The sequence below is a fragment of the Homo sapiens genome, chromosome 6 (assembly GCF_000001405.40).
Source record: "Homo sapiens chromosome 6, GRCh38.p14 Primary Assembly".
In the NCBI taxonomy this organism is placed as follows: Eukaryota; Metazoa; Chordata; class Mammalia; order Primates; family Hominidae; genus Homo; species Homo sapiens.
The window spans coordinates 2,537,423-2,556,705 of NC_000006.12; the positions used below are offsets into that span (position 1 = coordinate 2,537,423).

General features: G+C 42.2%; 1 annotated feature.

Annotated features, from left to right (window-relative positions):
• Positions 5,551–5,640: a silencer, noted in NCBI's record as "silent region_16827". NCBI's record gives its function as "represses an Ori minimal core promoter by ATAC-STARR-seq in GM12878 lymphoblastoid cells {active_cell/tissue: GM12878}" and the evidence as "EXISTENCE:reporter gene assay evidence [ECO:0000049][PMID:35858748]".

The following is a 19,283-nucleotide window of genomic DNA, read 5'->3' on the forward strand; positions in this document are numbered from 1 at the left end:
TCAGCCTTCCAGGTTCAAGTGATTCTCCCGCCTCAGCCTCCTGAGTAACTGGAATTACAGGCGCCTGCCACCATGCCCAGCTAATTTTGTATTTTTAGTAGAGATGGGGCTTCACCATGTGGGTCAGGCTGGTCTCGAACTCCGGATCTAATGGTAACAACTAGGGGGAACTTAAGGCTAGTTTGTTCAGAGTCTTCTTGGTGTTGGTGTCCCTCTGTGACATTCCTTCCTGTCTTCAGGAGACGAGCGAGGGAGAAGGAGAAGGTCAGAGTGACCTTCCTAGGTCTCATGACGTGCTTCACGAAGAAGGGAATGGGAAAGGGAGAGTGGCCTTTCTGCTTCTGTTTTCTCAAGCGCCGAGATGCCATATTTTGGTGTAGCATGTTCTGAACCCTGTCACTGTCTAAAGTCAGACTCTCCATCTGGGCCCTGGATCCCATCTCTTGCTTACTCAAGGACATCAGTCCAGCATCCAAGGAGCCTCTTTTCCTACATCATCAAATCTTCCTGCCTTACTGGATAATTCATATAAGCAAGCAGACGTGCTGTTATTTCTTCTGGCAAGAGAGAAAAAAAAACCTCTCTGGACTGCAATTTTCATTCTATCTATGGTTCTACTTTGCTGTCTTTTGCAAGAAAATCTCTCAGAAATGCTGTCCACATTTGCTCTTTCCAATTCTTGTCCTCTCATTCTCTCTTAAGTTCTTCCAACTGGGCTTCCGATGCCATCATTCTACTAAGCCTATTCCCTTCGAGGTTACTAATGATGTCCACATGGCTACATCCAATGGCAAATTCCTGGGCTTATCAACTGACTCCTCCTCTGACCCATTGGCAACTTCCTCCTCTTTGACACTCTTTCTACCCTTGACTTCCAGAACACTCCAGGCTTTCTGCCTACTTTAACTGGCTACTATTTCTCCGTCTCTTTTGCAGGTTTCTTCTCCCCTTTGGGACACAACAGTTCAGTGTTCTGAACTGGTTACATTCACCCCTGGATGATCCGATGACTTAGGTCTATATGCTGACAATTCCCAGATGTCTGTCTAGCCCAGATCGTCCCACAACTCTAGACTCCTATATCTAACACCTCCACCTGAATTTCCAACAGACAGGTCCAATTTAGTACAACAAAAGCTGACCCCACAGAGAGTCATCCCCATCTAGTTAATTGGTGACTCCACCCTGCCAGTTGCTTGGTCCAAAAATGTTGATGTTATTCTTGACTCTCCCACCACATAATCCAGGAAGAAATCATTTTGACTCTGCCTTATCTTCAAAAATATGTCAGAATCTGATCACCTCTAACTATTTGCGCCACCAATATGGCTTTCTTTTCTGGACTACTACAGTCAGTTTTCCAGCTGGGGTCCCAGATGCCACCCCAGCCCCTAAAGTCCATTATGAACACAGCAGCCATAGCAACTCCTTGAAGATGGGGCTCACACTATGTCACTCCTGTCCTCTGTTCAAACACTGTTCTCAGTCCTTCAAAAGGTCTTCAAAGCCCTGACCCCACCCCACCACCTCTCTAACTCATGGAGGTCCAGTGGATGGCTCTCCTGCTATTCCTCATCATTCCCGGTACTCTCTAGCCTCAGGGCCTCTGCCTGGAATGTGCTTCTGCCCACAACCCATATTGATAACGCCTTTACCTCCTTCCAGGTTTTGATCATCCCTCACCTTCTCAATGAGACATGCATGGCCTACTCTATTTACAATCCTGCGACAACACACCTTTTCCACAGCACTGACTTTGGAGCATACTAAATACTTATTGTTAACCATCTGCCTCCCTCCTGCTAGAATGTAAGCTCCACAGGGCATTGGCTTCTGTCTGTTTTCATCATTGATGTTTCTTCTGCACAGAAACAAGGTCTGACACATAGTTAATTGTCTCAAGAATATTGGATAATGAATGAATGCGTAAAAACAGCTATCAATTTTTGGTCTCTTCTCATCTTTATGCATTCTCTCATTTTGCGATATTTCATATAATGTGATTTTACATATATGTTTTGATATTGTAATAACAGAACTTTTATTCTTATTAATTTAATGTGAAGATTATATACATATTATATTGATCAACTTTTTCTGAAAAGGGCCAGATAGCAAATATTTTAGGCTCTGAAGGTCATGTACTATTTATCATGTATGTGTGTGTGTGTGTGTGTGTGTGTGTGTGTGTGTGTATGATGTACTAAATTGGACCTGTCTGTTGGAAATTCATGTGGAGGTGATAGAGATAGGAGTCCAGAGTTATGGGAGGATCTGGGCTAGACAGAGACATTTAAGAATTGTCAGCCTATAGACCTACATCATCAGATCACCCAGAGATGAATGTAAATAGAAAGGAGGTAAGGACTGAGGACCAAGACTCAGAACACTGAACTGTTGTTTCCCAAAGGGGAGACAGAACCCTCAAAAAAAGACGGAGAAATAGTAGCCAGTTAAAGCAGGAAGAAAGCCTGGAGTGTTCTGGAAGTCAAGGGCAGAAAGAATGTCAAAGAGGAGGAAGTTGCCAATGGGTCAAAGGAGGAGTCAATTGACAGGACTGGGAATTTGCCATTGGATTTAACTGTGTGGATGTCATTGGTGACCTCAAAGAGTGATGGTGTCAGAAGAGAGATATATACATCTCCCAAGTCTTTACGTTCTTAGCTTGTAGCTGTTTACAAATACCTGCAGACTTATATATTATGATTAACATAATTAACCTCATCATTGCACGTATTATTTCCAGTATGTTACTATTACAAATTCTATTCAATTAATAAACTTTTGTCACTTGCCTTTACTTCCAGTTTTTCCTATTTCATTGTTTTCCTTATTATTTTCCCATTTTCTTTATTATTTCTTTTATTATTTAAGAAGTCAAAGAACTATTCCCATAACATGGCATAAATTTATTATTTGACCTTTTAAAATTGTTCTACTATTAATATTTTAATTCTAAAACAATACATGCTCATTATAGAGAATTTGGAAAACAAAAATTTAAAGAAGAAAATATAAATCACTAGTAGATACAATACTCAGGAGTAGCCATTATTTTGTGGGCTTTTTCCAGTGATTTTTTTTTCTAAGCACATGTATATGTTCTTTAAAAATAACAAAATTAGGATAATACTATATGTATATACAAGTATTCTTCTTGAAATTCTTTTCTTAGTCATGAAAGCATTTTCTAATATCATTAGAAAACATGTTTTTTTCAATAGTACCATTTAGATGGCTACATAATGTAACATTAACATTATATAACAATTTATTGCAATGCTTTTCTGGAGTTTCTGACTATTTTTAGGTTGGATTCCTGAAGAAGAATTGTGCTTGTTTAAGTCTCTTTTTTACAAATGCTCTTCTAGAGAGGATGGACCAATACTCGGTCGTTTGAGCAATATGAGGTGGGGCTGTTTCTCTGTGCATCCCTCACCGTCAAACTAGGGACAGTGACAATTCAATCACTCAGTCACTTCTCAACATCCTGACCTTGCTGGATACCTGCTATGTCTTCTCTGATCTTTTACCTGTAGCGCAGCTTTTAAGAGCCCATGTTGTAGAATTACACAAACATAGGTTTAAATCTTGATTCGGCTGCTTAGTAGTTAGTCTGACCTCGGCCAAGTATTTACAGTACTCCATTTCCTCACTTCTTAAATGTGGATGTGATATCTACTTCATGAGCTGCTGTGAGGATTAAATGACACAATACAAGTAAAGTGCTCAAAACAGTAGTTCCCCTAGAAAGTTAGCTTGCCTTAGATCTAACTCCTTCTATGAATTGTCTCTCTCTCCCTCTCTTTCTCTCTCTCTCTCTCTCACACACACACACACACACACACAGACTCACACACTTGTTTTCTTTTTTTGAGACAGGATCTCACTTTGTCACCCAGGCCGGAGTGCAGTGATGCAGTCATGGCTCACTGTGGCCTTAACCTCCCAGGCTCAAGCGATCCTCTCACCTCAGCCTCCTGAGTGGCTGAGACCATGGGTCCGCGCCACCATGCCTGGCTATTTTTTGTAGAGACAGGGTCTTGGCATGTTGCCCAGGCTGGTCTCAAATTCCTGGGCTCAAGAGATTTGCTTGTCTCAGCCTCCCAATGTGCTGTGATTACAGGCATGAACCACCACACCCGGCCCACTTTTTAAAAAAATGTCAGACTTCTTTTATGACTTTTCTGGGCTCTTGAAATTTTCAGTTAAAAATTGTTTTGTTACTTCCAGAGAAAAACGTTTCCTTTTGCCATTAGTCTTCGGGTTTACCTGGTTGACCCTTGATGACAATCAGAAATTTATTTAAGATAATTTTATTGGTAGTTTTGATTTGTAAAGGAGAACTTCAGAGTTGCTGCTCACATGGGCCCTGCCCAGTGGTCTGCTACTTGGCAGGGCAGCCAAAGCATTTACACCTCCTGCAAAGCTTCAACCCCTTCCAGAGGAGCCGATGTCTAAGCTGAGAGGCAACTAGCGAGGTAGACAGGACTGAGAAGGCCATTCCCAAAGAGAGAGGAGGCAAACCAGAGGGAGATGGGGGAAGGTTGCAGCCAAGCTGCTGGGAGCTACAGCCCTGCCAATCTGCTAACCCGAAACTCCCAAGCGGGAGTCATGAGGACTATAGTGGGCAATTAGAACTCACATCATCACATAGCTCTGGTAGAGCACTAACTTCTGCCCATCTCCCTTTCTTTTTATTGAACTCCTTCAAATATGTTGTGACTAGAGCTTCTAAAGTGGAGACCGTTTTTCTGTCCTGTGTGTTTCTCGAGTTGAATGTGTCTCTCGGCTATCCGGGTGGGTAGGGGCATAAGCCAGTGACATACGATGAACCTACTTGACCTTCATGCTAAGATCCCTCTGACACTAGTTGAACAGTTAAACTTGCTGAACTGGTTCTCCCCAAATTCCTATGTTAAAGTCCTAAACCCCAGTACTTAAGAACGTGGCTGTATTTGGAAATGGGTTTTTTAAGAGGTAATTAAATTAAAACAAGGTCATTAGGGTGGGTCCTAACCCAATCTGACTGGTGCCCTTATCAGAAGAGGACATGAGGACGCAGACATGCAGAGAGGGAAGACCATGTGGGGACACAGGGAGAAGCCAACCCTCCACCAGCCCAGGAGAGAGGCCTCAGGGGAAACCAACCCTGACGACCCCTTGATCTCAGACTCACAGCCCCAAAGACTGTGAGGAGACCAGTCTCTGTTGTTCAAGTCTCTCAGTCTGTGGTGCTTGTTACACTTTCCCAGCTGCCATACTCTCTCCCACCTGGATCCCTGCAACAGCATACACCTGGTGTCTCAGTGCTCACTTTGCTGCTGAGAAATAAAGATAAAATCCTAAGCCCCTCAACCAACTGAGCAGACACTCTCTTGGCCAGGGGAACCCTAGAGAAACTGTAAAAACTGAGTTCATGGCCATGATGGATAGAAGGTCAGACACGCCTTGCTATACCCGCTCCCTTGCTAACCGCCACTAGGTTTTCTTCCTCAATGGTTAAACAGAAACCAGCTGTTTTGAAAGACTAGCTCCATTGCTGATTTTGAAGAATCTCCTGACTTCTGCCCCTCCCTTTTGTGGTTTCAACACAACTGCGTTCCTTCCTGATAAGAAACCACCAACCACAGAGTGGTTCTGCTGAGTCTATGGAGATTGCATACTAAGGGTTTTCCTGTCCTCCACTTCACCTTCTGATCTCAGAGGGCCAAACACTCCACTCTCAGGTTATGCTAGCACTGTCATTTTTTTGTACATGCCACCCATGAAGAGGCATGAAGCTCAATTGCACATGTGCACGTTTCTCCATTCGTGCCTCCTTCTGTAGCTTACTGAATATGTGCATTTGGTCACCTGGTTCAGCATAAATCCCTTTTACATTCTTCCCACCTTCTAAGTGTCTGTTTCTAGCTTCTGGCCAGAGGCTACGCTTCCCAACCTGTCAGAATGGCTACCCTGCAGGATGCAACCCTGTATGAGAAATCTCTCCTTTCCAAAAATATGAACCTCATTATTCAGTTAACACTGCCCAGCAGGCAGTGTGGATCTCAACACATCACTTCAACCCTTCTTTGGCTCTTCAGATAAACCCTCTGGTCTTCACCACAGCCCTCCAGGCTCCTGCTCCAAGTTCCTTTTGTGCCTTTTTTCTCTTTTTCCTTCATGCCTCTGTCTGTTCCTCTAATGCTTTTTTTTCCCTGCCCCTGAGGACCTTGGTTTGCACCAGCCCCTCTACCCAGACAGCTCTCTGTCCCGTAGCCACCTGTGCATTACTTTCCACTGCACATCAAACATCCCTTCCTCAGAGAGGCTTCTCTAGTTATGTGACCGTATAACTCCTTGGATGTCTATTTCATGGGAGGTAACATATTTGCAATTACTATAAGTAATAATTTGAGAAATTAATCATCCCACCTTTGCTTCCCTATAGCTCTGCACTGTCCTGTAGGACACCGGGCACTGCTGGAAGCATTCCATAGTCTGTGCTGTCTAACACAGTAACCATTAGCCCCATGTGGCTATTGAGTACTTGAAATGTGGCTAGCATGGTGTATTAGTCTGTTCTCACGCTGCTAATAAAGACATACGAGAGACTGGGTAATTTATAAAGGAAAGAATTTTAACTGACTCACAGTTCCACATGGCTGGGGAAGCCTCACAATCATGGCAGACAGCAAATGAAGAGCAAAGTTATGTCTTACATGGTAGCAGGCAAGAGAGTTTGTACAGGGGAACTCCCACTTATAAAACCATCAGATTTCTTGAGACTTATTTATTACCACAAGAATAGTATGGGGGAAACTGCCCCATGGTTCAATTATCTCTACCTGACCCTACCTTTGACACATGGGGATTATTACAATTCAAGGTGAGATCTGGGTGGGGACACAGCCAAACCATATCACACAGCATGTGATTTTTATTAATTTAAATTTAAATTCAAGTAGCTACATGTGGCTGGCAGCCACCTGGTTGGCCACACAGCTATGGGCTGCCCGCTCTGCACAAGCAGGTGCCAGTCTCTGTTGCTGCCCATGGTGGCTCCCACATGGGCATTTAAATATCTGTGAATAAATAAGTGAGTTTAACTAATTTAAATTTAACTAAAGAGGTTATGTATTTGAAACCAAATGTCCCATATAAAGAATATTGCTGGTATCACATTCTCAGCAGGACAAACTCTGCCATTATTCTCGTTGCTTTTTTCCCTTTACCAGCAAAATTTGGGTTGACGATGAGAACTTTTTTGGGAGGTACTATGTAATGCCTCACTTGATTAAAATGGACTGATTTTCCACATGACGACTAGATAGGATTGCATATGCCAATCGATTTTAGAAAATAAGATCAAGAATATAATATAGACCAGGACCAAATGAAAATTAAAAAGCAGCAAGTAAAAAGCTAATAAAATTCTTCAAAGAAGCAGGCAAATATTCTTAGCTTAAATCAAAGATGGATAAAACAAAAGTTTTGAGCTTTTAGACTAACTGAATCCCAGGATCTAGAGAGAACTTTAAGCATAGAGCTTGCTCAGGTGTAAGACTGAGTACCCCCCAGGAGAATGCAGTACATCTTCTCTATAAACACAGAGCTGGCCAGACGCATTGGCTCACACCTGTAATCCTAGCACTTTGGGAGGCCAAGAAGAGGAGATCACCTGAGGTCAGGAGTTCAAGACCAGCCTGGCCAACATTCTGAAACCCCGTCTCTACTAAAAATAAAAAAATTAGCCAGGTGTGGTGGCAAGTGCCTGTAGTCCCAGCTACTCGGGAGGCTGCAGCAGGAGAATTTCTTGAACCCGGGAGGCGGAGGTTGCAGTGAGCCGAGATGGCGCCACTGCACTCTAGCCTGGGCAATGGAGTGAGACTCTGTCTCAAAAAAAAAAAAAAAGCAAAAAATAAATAAATAAACCCACAGAGCTAACTCCTAATTAGCATTACCAGATAAAATTCATGACAGTTAAATTTGGATTTCAGATAAGAATGAATAACTTTTTATAGCTTATAATAAGCTATTCATTCTTTATCTGAAATCTACATTTAACTATATTTCCTGTTTTGAGATTTTTTTTTGCTAATTCTTGCAGGCATATTTAGAATACATGGGAATAAAACAGCCACAGAAGATGAAAGTGTGCCAAGTCAGAATATACATAACTTAAAATTTAATGCGAAGGAAGTGACTGAAACTTTTCCCTCATTCTTGTATCTCTCTCTCTCTCTTTTTTTTTTTCCTCTTGATCATGTTCCCAAAAAGCTAGACCAAGTTTTGGCATCTTTTAGGGTTTTATTCCTGTACTGCATGATGACTTTTTTGATGCTGAGAGTTTATGAGCTTTATCAAGCAGGAGAAAGAAGGCAATAGTCATTGTATATGAGCTCCTAGGAACGAGAACTTTGTCATAATAAATTCTATAGCCTCAGGGCCTAGCACAGTGCCTCGCCCAGAACTGGTAAGCAACTGAGGTTGGCCGTTCCTGTAGATACATCGCAATTCTGTTTGCAGTAGGGATAGAGAGGGATAGAATTGTCACCGATGTGCACACATGTGATTCCTCTTCTTATTCCCATTGTTTTTCACAGCACCTCAAATATAAGAGAATCTCAATATATGCTCATTGAACTGAACTCAGCTGATTTAAGACCATGAGATTCCTTCTTATTAGGGTAGATGTTTCTTGAGAAACATTTTTATTATTTAGCATGTTGTGGAAATTCAGATCTGCTAAACACCTCAAAACCATGATTATTATTTGATTACTTTTTATTCCTTTGGGCTTCTTGTTCATGGCACACAATGCTCTCTGGTGTGACAGATCTTGGCCTTAGTAATTCCAAACCTCAGCACTCTCTCATCTTCCTGCCCCAGTGCAATTACATGAGTGCTTGGGAGCTGGCTGAGTCAGGAAAGTGGATGTAAGTGAAGCAGACAACGTAGAAATGAACAAAGCGACATCTGGAGAGGACCACAGCCAGGACTCAAATCTAGCCTGTCTCCAGCTCACCTCCTCCCTCCTCGATCACCACCCCCTCCAAATCTGCACGTGATCGATCATAGAACTATTCACATGGGTCAGGTCGTGCTATCCCTGCTCAGCCTCAAGCCCCTCCAGGTAGGCAGCACCAAAGCATATTTATGGTCATTTTTCCAAGCACTGTGGCTATATTTGTGTCTGGCCTATATCCCTTGAAAATGATCCTATGCGTAAACTCTTAAATAATCTTTTAAAAATCTCTAACCTCTTTGAATTTTCTACACCAAGTTCACATAGGAATTCCAGCTTGGCCATGGCCACTTTAATTAAGTTAGATAGAAAGAAAATGAAAACACTAGTCGTCCAGGTGGTAGCATGTGTGGGTTTAAGGTATGCACACACTTTCCTGAATTTCTAAGATAGATTTGTGTGGTTTTAATCAAAAGTATAAGCTTCCAGGATAATGCTAAGAGATGGTCCATTGAACTGCATTCTTAAACTATGAAAGCCTTCCAATCATCCTACAATCCCTATATTGTAAAATTTTATGTCTCAACTATATTTAATTTTCCGTCACCCAAACTCTTGGCTGGACTTCCACATTTTCTCAATAATGACTTCTCTTTCTTGGCTAGTCATGTTACATTTAGCAAAAGCTGGGACGCTGATCACCTCTGCCCCCGTTCCCCTCTAATGGGTCATTTCTGATGCTGTCTTGGACTTCTTTCATCACATTGTAGGTCTCTGCATCACTCTGCTCCACGTTCGTGAGAAACTGCTTATTTGGAAATCCGTCCAAGCAGCCCCATCAGATCTTTTACATCAACTCGCCTAAATCTGCAATCCACACCATTGGGTGCAGGAAAGAGGCCTTCATGTTCTTGCCTGACCACGGGGGAGCAGAGTGTGGTATCTATTAAAACGTTTGTTCAGATGCCTCACAGTGCTGGAATATCTTACAAAGGGGTACAAACACTGCTTGTTCACAAAGAGTGTGTGGCTTCAGTGGAAAGAGAGGTCTAGCTCTCCTTCTGTCTCACACCAAACACACTACGGTCTTCTTGAGTCTTGTGCAATGATTACATGATTACACTGAGCAGGAAGAAGTGGGGGTGAAGACAGAGCAGGAGGATTTTCAGGCTCTCCCAGTGAACAAACCACAGAGCGCTATTCTAGGGACTGTTACTCTAGCAGAATGGAAATGTGCTATGGAGCTTCCGTCTCACACTTGGGGCTTGGAGGTGTGATCTGGTCTCTTAACTCCCCCACGTTGACTCTCACAGGTCCTCCTGAAACTGCCTTTGCAAAATTATGACAGTAGGAGAACTCTGACATAGCTAACTTCATTTGGCTTCTTAGCTCTAAGTTCTCCTTCTTCATTGCTGGGCATAGGCCAAGCTAACTTTGGGAGGAATTTAGTTTATAGTTTAACCTTAAAGCAAGGATGATAACAGCCTTTTGCAAAGCTATGCATTCCTTGTTTAGATACCAAATTGCCTTTGAAAAACTAATGAAAGGCTACAAGATTAGGGAGGGGTCCGAACTCTGCTAAGATGTAGGCGTAGTTGAAGGATAACCAGCCATTATTCCAGTGGTCATAAGATCTGAAACCTCCCCAACTGCTCCTATTGTAAAACCTAAGATTGGTGTTTGAGGCATTTTTCAAACTCTGCATTCTGATGGATCAGCTGGCACCCCCCAGACTGCTAGTTCATCTGGTCTTTTGGCCCCTACCCAGGAACTGGGTCAGCACAAGAAGACAGCTTCAACCCCCTGTGATTTAATTCCTGACCCAGCCAATCAGCATTCCTCATTCCCTAGCCCCTCACCCATCAAACTATCCTTAAAAAACCCTATCCTCCAAATGTTCGGAGAAGCTGGTTTGAGTAATAACAAACTGCTGTGCTTCCACATAGCTGGCTCTGCATGTATTAAACTCTTTCTCTATTGCAAAGACCTGCTGTTTTCAGTGCACCAGCTTTTGTGGGTGGTGGGCAAGATGAACCTGTCAGGTGATTACACTCCTGTGTCACACTCAAAGCCATATTCATGCTGAAACAGTCTCACTTTGGGCCTTGGATATGCCTTTTCCTCTAACTAAAACATCTTTGTTCCTCCTACACATTGTGTGGCTCCATTCCTATTCAACCTTCAAGTCTCAGTTTTGCTGTTGCTCTGGTGGAAATCCTTCCTGTAAACTTCGAGTCTGGGTCTGGTTCCTCTCAGTGCTCTGGGCTTACTTCTACTATGCTTTGACAGGCAATTTTGAAGAAGTCTGTTTGTCTATCCACCCTGTGAGCACTCTCCCTGTCTGTACCACACACACACGTACACATTTAGACCCACATACTTTGGAACAGACATGCTTATTTAGATACATACATACTAGCACACATATACACACAGGCTATGAGTATCTTCAGGACCACAACAATATTCACTGTTCAATGTTCACCAAGATCCTTGATCACAGTAAGTGGTCAATAAATAGTTGCTGAATAAATGTTAAATGAGGAATGATGTGCCAGACTATGCACTTCTTATGGTCCACTGCTGTTAAACATTTGATCAGGAATTTTCCATTTTTTTTTATTCTAGCTGAGAATCCACTGATAACAATTGGGGCTTTGAAGTCCAATTACTTCTCCCAGTTCCCAAAATACACCCAATCAGATAAAGTTTGAGCTGTCAAGAGCAAGGCAATGTCATCCTCTGAATAGTTTCTATCAGAGACTCAAGCAAATGAAAACAGTTCCTACTCTTGAGCAAACACTGTTTGCATTGAGAGTGGGCTAACAAGAGCATAGATAGATTAGCATATACCAACAAGGGAAGCATCATAATAATGTTAACTGTCCAAGATCAACCCACAATACAGATATATGCAACAAAATAAAATAAAATAGCATCATGAACCACATGCAGCAACAAAGACTGAGAAATTTCAACCTCATGAAAAATATAAGTGCAGAAAAAATATATGCATATATGCATACACATGTGTAGATAGATAAGACAGACAGATAGATGTATGGATGGAAAATCTAAAACATAAAGGGGGAAGCCAGACTGTTGTTTTTACTTCTTAAGGCTGACGATTAGATGAGCAAATTTGCCCTATACTGTACTACGTTTTGTTCCGTGAAGGGTAGGGAGTGAGAGGCATTGGGTGAGGTCAGAGATAAAAGCTATACAGAGAATTTGAGTAAGGAAGACAGGTCAAACAGCTCATTCTAGCACTGCGTGCTGGGAAAGGCTTGGTCGCGGGTGTGGGTAGGAAAAGGGATGAAGGCAGCCTGGAGTAAATAGAGAACTAAGCTGATATTAAGACAGGGAAGAGACAGGGGTCAGCGTGAACCACCTGCCCCATCCCTACATATGGCCCAAGCCTTAACCTCAAGAAACCTGCAGTGAAGTGCCTCGGTGCTTTCTAGAATAGGAATTGCAATTCTTTTATTTTCCACAGCCACCAAGACTGTGCCTCAGGACCCAGTACACATTGTGCAAAACAATGATGATGATAATATCACCTGACATTTATATTGTACTTTGCAAAGCAATTTCACACTTCATATCTCACTTGGCCTGTATGTTTGAAGAGATGCTGCTTCCACGCCCCACCTGCAAGGCTTTGGGCTGCCAGGACATCCTTATTCGCTGCAATTCCCACCTCCGAGGCCTTTTTGTAATGTGCTAGACTCACAGGGGCCTTAACAGTGACTCAATCATGCATGGCCTTCCAAAGGCTATATCCCATCACACACCTCAAAGAGTTCCCTGGGGCATATTATCTGGCTGTAAAAGAAGATTTCTTTATTTTCAATAGTTCAGAATTTCCTTCCAATGCTCGTGTTTCTCTCTATGAGATAAATCTAAAGACCCCGGTGACTCAGTGTGGCCCATGGACCGGCAGCATCAGCATCACCTGATCTTGTTAAAACTCAGACTTTCAGGGCCACCCAGCCCTCCCAGGATCTGCATTTTAACAGATCCCCCATGGTCCCAGGGGATTCCTGGGCACACTGAAGGCTGAAAAGCTCTGCTATAATGGCTGCACATACCTAAAAAATGTTGAGTACACAGAGGGAAAATTCTTATGATTTTGCTGATAAATGCAGTATTCATTACAAGCCTTCATCCCGTATATCCTGTTAGCTTTGCTAGGTTACTGAATACTCACTCACTGATATTCTTGATACTTTTAAACACATAGTGAGTTGGGGAGAGTCAGTATCTGGACCTCAAGGAGTGTCCAGAAGTGGGAGTTTTAGGAAAAATCACAGACTACTTTTGCATATTGTTTGAGATAAATACTTAAATCCTGGGTGATCTTGATTAATCTAGTGTTAAAATATCTAGAATTATAACATGTACTCAATGAAAGCCGCTTTATTTTAAACATCCAGAAGACTAGAGATTAGGATGTTCTCTGGTCCACATAGGTTTCACATGATTTATAAATAGACAGAAAGGCCATTGTTTTTATTTGTCAGGGTACATTAAAGTCTACCAAAAGAATTAGGAGGGGGCAGGTGGGCGTGGTGGCTCACGCCTGTAATCCCAGCACTTTGGGAGGTCGAGGCGGGTGGATCACCTGAGGTCAGGAGTTCAGGACCAGCCTGGCCAACATGGTGAAACCCTGTCTCTACTAAAAATTAAAAAATTAGTTGGCCATGGTGGCATGTGCCTGAAATCCTAGCTACTTGGAAGGCTGACGCAGGAGAATAGCTTGAACCTGGGAGGCCGAGGTTGCAGTGAGCCAAGATCGCACCACTACACTCCAGCCTGGGTGGCAGAGCCAGACTCCGTCTGAAAAAAAGAATTAGGAGGGGAGTACTTGAATATCAAGTAACTGATAGAGTAGAAATTCATAATGGCAAAGTTTGAAGTATCCAATGGGGTAATCAAAAAATATTGCCTTCTCCTCTCTACATAATAGACAGTAATTATTAATGGTGGTCAAACCAAGCAGTCTACACAATAGGAAAACACTGATGCCTTGCCTGAAGGTAGAGATTGTTCATTACTCTTCTTTTCCATATCCAAGGTCCTAGCACAGTATTGGACACACAGAACATGATTGTTAAATACTTTTTGAAGTCAAGAACTCAAAGGTCATCTTTCGGAGAGTTTTGCTAATCTGTTCAGGATGAGAAGAACTGACATATTTGAGAAATATTTAGCTGGACATAGCTTCCAAAAGAAAAGAAGCCTCAAACCATGGCCCTAATCTCTTCTCCCATGCCCATCATACTGAGTTTCTAAATATAAAATACCTGAAAACATGCCCAAAAGTGCAGCAGATCAAGAAGCATTTGCTGGGTCAGTGAACACGTGAATTGATTGCTTCAAGTCCTCCACTTGCCTTCCTTGTGGAGTCTCGTTGTCACGGCTCTGGGATGGTTACAGACACAATGCTTAGTCCAGCAGAAGCTACAGCCAAAAGAAGGGCTATACAAAGATAAGCCAAGTGTTGAAAAAATAAGTTCTTATTCTACACAGATTTATTGCTGAGTCAGAACAGAACTTACATTTCTTAATTTTATCTATTTATTTATTTACTTATTTTAGAGACAAGGTCTTACTATGTTTCCCAGGCTAGACTTGTACTCTGAGGCTCAAGTGATCCTCCTGTTTCAGCCTCCCAAGTAACTGGGACTACAGGTGCATGCCACCATGCTCCACTAGAACTCACATCTTTGGAAAAAACTTTCTTGATAAAAACAACAAACTGTCTTTTCAATTATAATATATAATTATTGTAGAAAATACAGCAAAGCATAAGAAGAAATTAAATTTCCTCATACCTATCACTGGGAGATAGCCATGAGTATTATTTGAAGATATTTTCTATTTTTTTTTTTTTTTTTTTTGAGGCAGGGCCTCAGTTTGTTACCCAGTGGCGTGATCTCGGCTCACTGCAACCTCCACCTCCTGGGTTCAAGGGATTCTCGTGCCTCAGCCTCCCAAGTAGCTGGGATTACAGGTGCACGCCACCATGCGTGGCTCATTTTTTTGTATTTTTAGTAGAGACGGGGTTCCACCATGTTGGCCAGGCTGGTCTTGAACTCCTGACCTCAAATGATCTGCCTGCCTTGGCCTCCCAAAGTGCTGGGATTACAGGCATGAGTTACCACGCCCAGCCTTGGACATACTTTCACTTGATCTTTTTTTTCCTGTGCACATATACATTTATAAAATCGAAAGCATTGCATTCCTGATTTTGTGTTTTACCTTTTTCATCAAATACTGTAGCACAAAGTATTTACCATATTAATAAACATTCTCTGAAAATACCATACCGATGACTACACGTATGCACATACACATATAAAATATATATAAACATTCTTCTATTGTTGCTATTCTAAACAACACTCTGATAACTCTCCTTGAATGTAAATCTTGTCCACATTCTGATTATTTTCTTGGGGTAGTTCCCTAGAACACAGAAAAGGCTTTCAAAAGAACAGCAGGACACACGTGCCTTCAAGTTAAGCTAGAGAAAAGCCATGGTTGGGTATCATCTCAGCCCACCTCCGAGGCGCGTGATCCCTTCAGAGACTCGGGCCTCCCCGGGTCCTGGAGGTCTTGGCTGCAGGCCCATCAAACCACTGAGCTTCTCTTTTAAAGTTTCTTAAATTTCCTGGCTTTTAAAAGAGAGAGAACTTCTTCAATATTTGTTCCAAAAGCAAAGGGAAAAAGTGGAGGGGGATGTATATTATTCCTTGAAAGAGAAAGTAATATATTTTTCATCAGTGTGATCTTATCCCACACATCTCTGAAGGACTAGTATTAAAGTCTACTCGAGTTCACAAAATGTGCTTTTTCCTTACAATGACCTTTTGTTAGAGGTATTTGAGGTTTGTTTTTATAAATAATTCTCACTTAAATGAGAATCTCTTTATAAAATTATTTCAGAAAGCAGTTACACTGTATCAAGGGGCAAAAGATTACCTTTACCAGCTGGGCGCGGTGGCTCACGCCTGTAATCCCAGCACTTTGGGAGGCCGAGGCAGGTGGATCATGAGGTCAGGAGTTCGAGACCAGTCTGGCCAACATAGTGAAACCCCGTCTCCACTAAAAATACAAAAAATTAGCCTGATGTGGTGGTGTGCGCCTGTAATCTCAGCTACTTGGGAGGCTGAAGCAGGAGAATTGCATGAACCCAGGAGGTGGAGGTTGCAGTGAGCCGAGATCGTGCCATAGCACTCCAGCCTGGGCAACAGTGTGAGACTCTCTCTAAAAAAAAAATTACCTTTAGCAAAGTTAGAAAATGCGTCTGCCCTTTCTGAAATGAAATAACTTCAACTCCAATTTTAGTAAGAATGCATGAATTAAGTATGTATAGACTTTAATAACAAATACAAATGTATATAGTAGTATATAATGATATACACAGTGGATAGTCATTTGACGTTTACAAAACATTTTCCAACCATGATCAGTTTTGATAGTCATAATAACAGAACATGAAGCATGACTGATATTATTTCAGTTTTGCTGTTGAAAATAATAAGGCCTAAGGTTAAGTAAGCTCCAAGGTCATCTACCTCCATGATTGGTTAGCAGATGACTCCCCTCATCCCTACTGCTACACGGCTTCCCTAAGATCCTTCGTGAACTTGGTAACTGATTAATCAGTCTCAGTTTTAGTTCCATCTTGCAGAATATAAAGGTGACCTTCTCCCCACCCCTCACAGAGATATTATATAAAGACAAAGCAGTCTGAAAATTGAGTACACACACACACAGACAGACACACGCACGCATGTTCATGCATCTCCTATTTACAAAAGGATTGAGGTGGTCGGTAGCCCCAGTAGGGACAGGAATAGTTTCACTAAGAAGGGCAACAACCAATGAAGATTTAAAAATTAAAGTGACAGAATCTCTACCATTTCTTTATTGCATTTTGCATGATATCAAAATGGAAATTTTTTTCTTGTCAATGACTCCTTCAAAAAATAAAAGATGCCGTGCATTGATAAAAATGTGAAATAACAGGTAAAAAAAAACCAAAAAACAAAAAACAAAACCCAAACTAGGTTGCCGTGCAAGAAAGATGAAGAGGAATGGCTCTACAGGTGAAAAGATAAAATACAAACCCAGGGACCCAAGTTTCCAAAGTCCTGCTCTGAAAATAATATGTGTAAACGCTACTGAAGATTTGACTTTTCCCGGACTTCAATTTTTGTTATTTGTAACAAAAAAGCAAACATATTTCAAGGGCTGTTATTCAGAATGTGGTTGGCTTGTATGAGACTGCTTTGTTAAATCACTTCTGTAATTTTACCCAGCAAAATCTTTTAAATAGTAAACCTTGGAGAAAACTAATACAAGGTGAAATATGCTGCAAATATAAAGTGCAATGTAAATGCTTCCTGATGGGGTGATGAAAACACAGATGATGTCTACAAATTGCCAGTCCTGCCTCTGACTCAACCACTAAGGAGCCGGTTTGTCAACTTTAATCTTTCAAAGTACAGATTTTTAAAAAATGAACATGCAACCCCTTCTGACAGATGTTACCTCTCCAAGCAACACCTGATACGTAAGTTTCAAATAATGTGAAGACAAATTTGGCTTCTTAGCTATCAAGTCTGAAATGAACAAGTCCCTCCTCTGATCACTTGCAGCCTCTCTGGAAGGATGGGGCCCCTCCTCCCCGAAGAGCATCTTAATCACGCTCTGCTGAAAGCAAGGCTTGGAGCAGCTTTCTTTTCTGTTTTTTCCAAAGCTATGTTTTATTGTATATATTTATTATTTAAGATGTTTGATATGATGCCAGGCAAGCAAATTAACATATCCATCCTTCCAAAGTTATCTTCTGTCTTTTGTGGGTTTTTTTTTTTTTTTTTTTTTTTTTTTTTTTTTTTTTTTGGTAATAGCACCTAAAATCTACTCTCTGCAGCTTTTTCAAAGGCTTCCAGACTTGGCCACTTCAAAGGATCTTTAGAGAAGAGCACATGCCACAACACCAGGGCTTACATTTTCACCAAGTTTGTCGATTTCTAGGTACGTCTTGATTTAGGTTTCTGAAAGGGAATTCCTTCTTCCTCCCTCCCTTCTACTCTTCCTTCCTTTTGTTTCTTTCAAAAAAGTAAAAAAGAGCAGAGTGATCCAATGGCCTGAGCATTATTTTGTCCTTGCTACTTGATATTGGATCACTGGTGCCCTGAGTGGCTGAAGTGGGTGGTTACCCAATTCTGCTAATCCCTCCCACTTGTATTTGAATAGGGAAAGTTATTTTAATTAGTGCACTTAATGTCAGTCAATAAAGAGAACTAAGCATTCCCCCAAACACTAACACACACCCACACACACACACAGAGTAGTTCTCTTCTAATTCGCCAAGTTGGATTTTCTGGCTAGGTTCTGCTGTTTGTTACAAATCCAGTCTTTTCCTCATCCTCGTGCTCGGATGGGTGGGAGGCGGGGGTGACCTGGCTCCTTCCCACCTGCTTTTCTGTTCTTAGGGCCCCCACCAACCTTGCTGCTGTCTCATAGGTCTTTCCCACCCCCCACCTTGAGATAGAGTCTTGCTCTGTCACCCAGGCTGCAGTACAGTGGTGCCATCTCGGCTCACTGCAACCTCTGCCTCCTAGGTTCAAGAGATTCTCCTGCCTCGGCCTCAGGAGTAGCTGGATTACAGGATTACAGGTGCCTGCCACCACGCCCGGTATTTTTTTGTATTTTTAGTAGAGACAGGGTTTCACCATGTCGGCCAGGCTGATCTCGAACTCCTGACCTCAGGTGATCCGCCCACTTCAGCCTCCCAAAGTACTGGGATTACACACGTGAGCCACTGCATCCAGCCTGTCTCACAGGTCTTAACCTGGCAGAGCAATGGGATCACGTGGGGTGGGGACTTCAAAAAAATTGCCAGCTGCCCAGCTGTGTGACAAGAGACTTTGACTTGAGTGACCCAGGTTCAGGCCTCAACATTCTTCAATGTTTCCCCCAACCGTGGTAAGGAGCAGCCAGAGTTAAGAACCAGGGGCTAATTCTCACGTTCCAGTTCTCTTCTCATCCCACATTTTAGCTCCTCGTGCACCCCAGGGCCTACGAGGACAAGTTACAGAGAGATTTTAAATTAAGAATTCAAGTGGGGTCTACTCTAGTGATGGGATTTTAAACATTTGAGCTGGAGAAGCTTTTGGAATTGGGCTCAAGTCATACTGTGACCCACCAGCATGGGTTGACTGGGATGTAGGATTCAGGTCACCCTGATTCCAGATGTGCTATCAGGCCTGGTGCCGTCACCAACCCTGTTCACTTCTCAGCCACTTCTCCCTGGCAA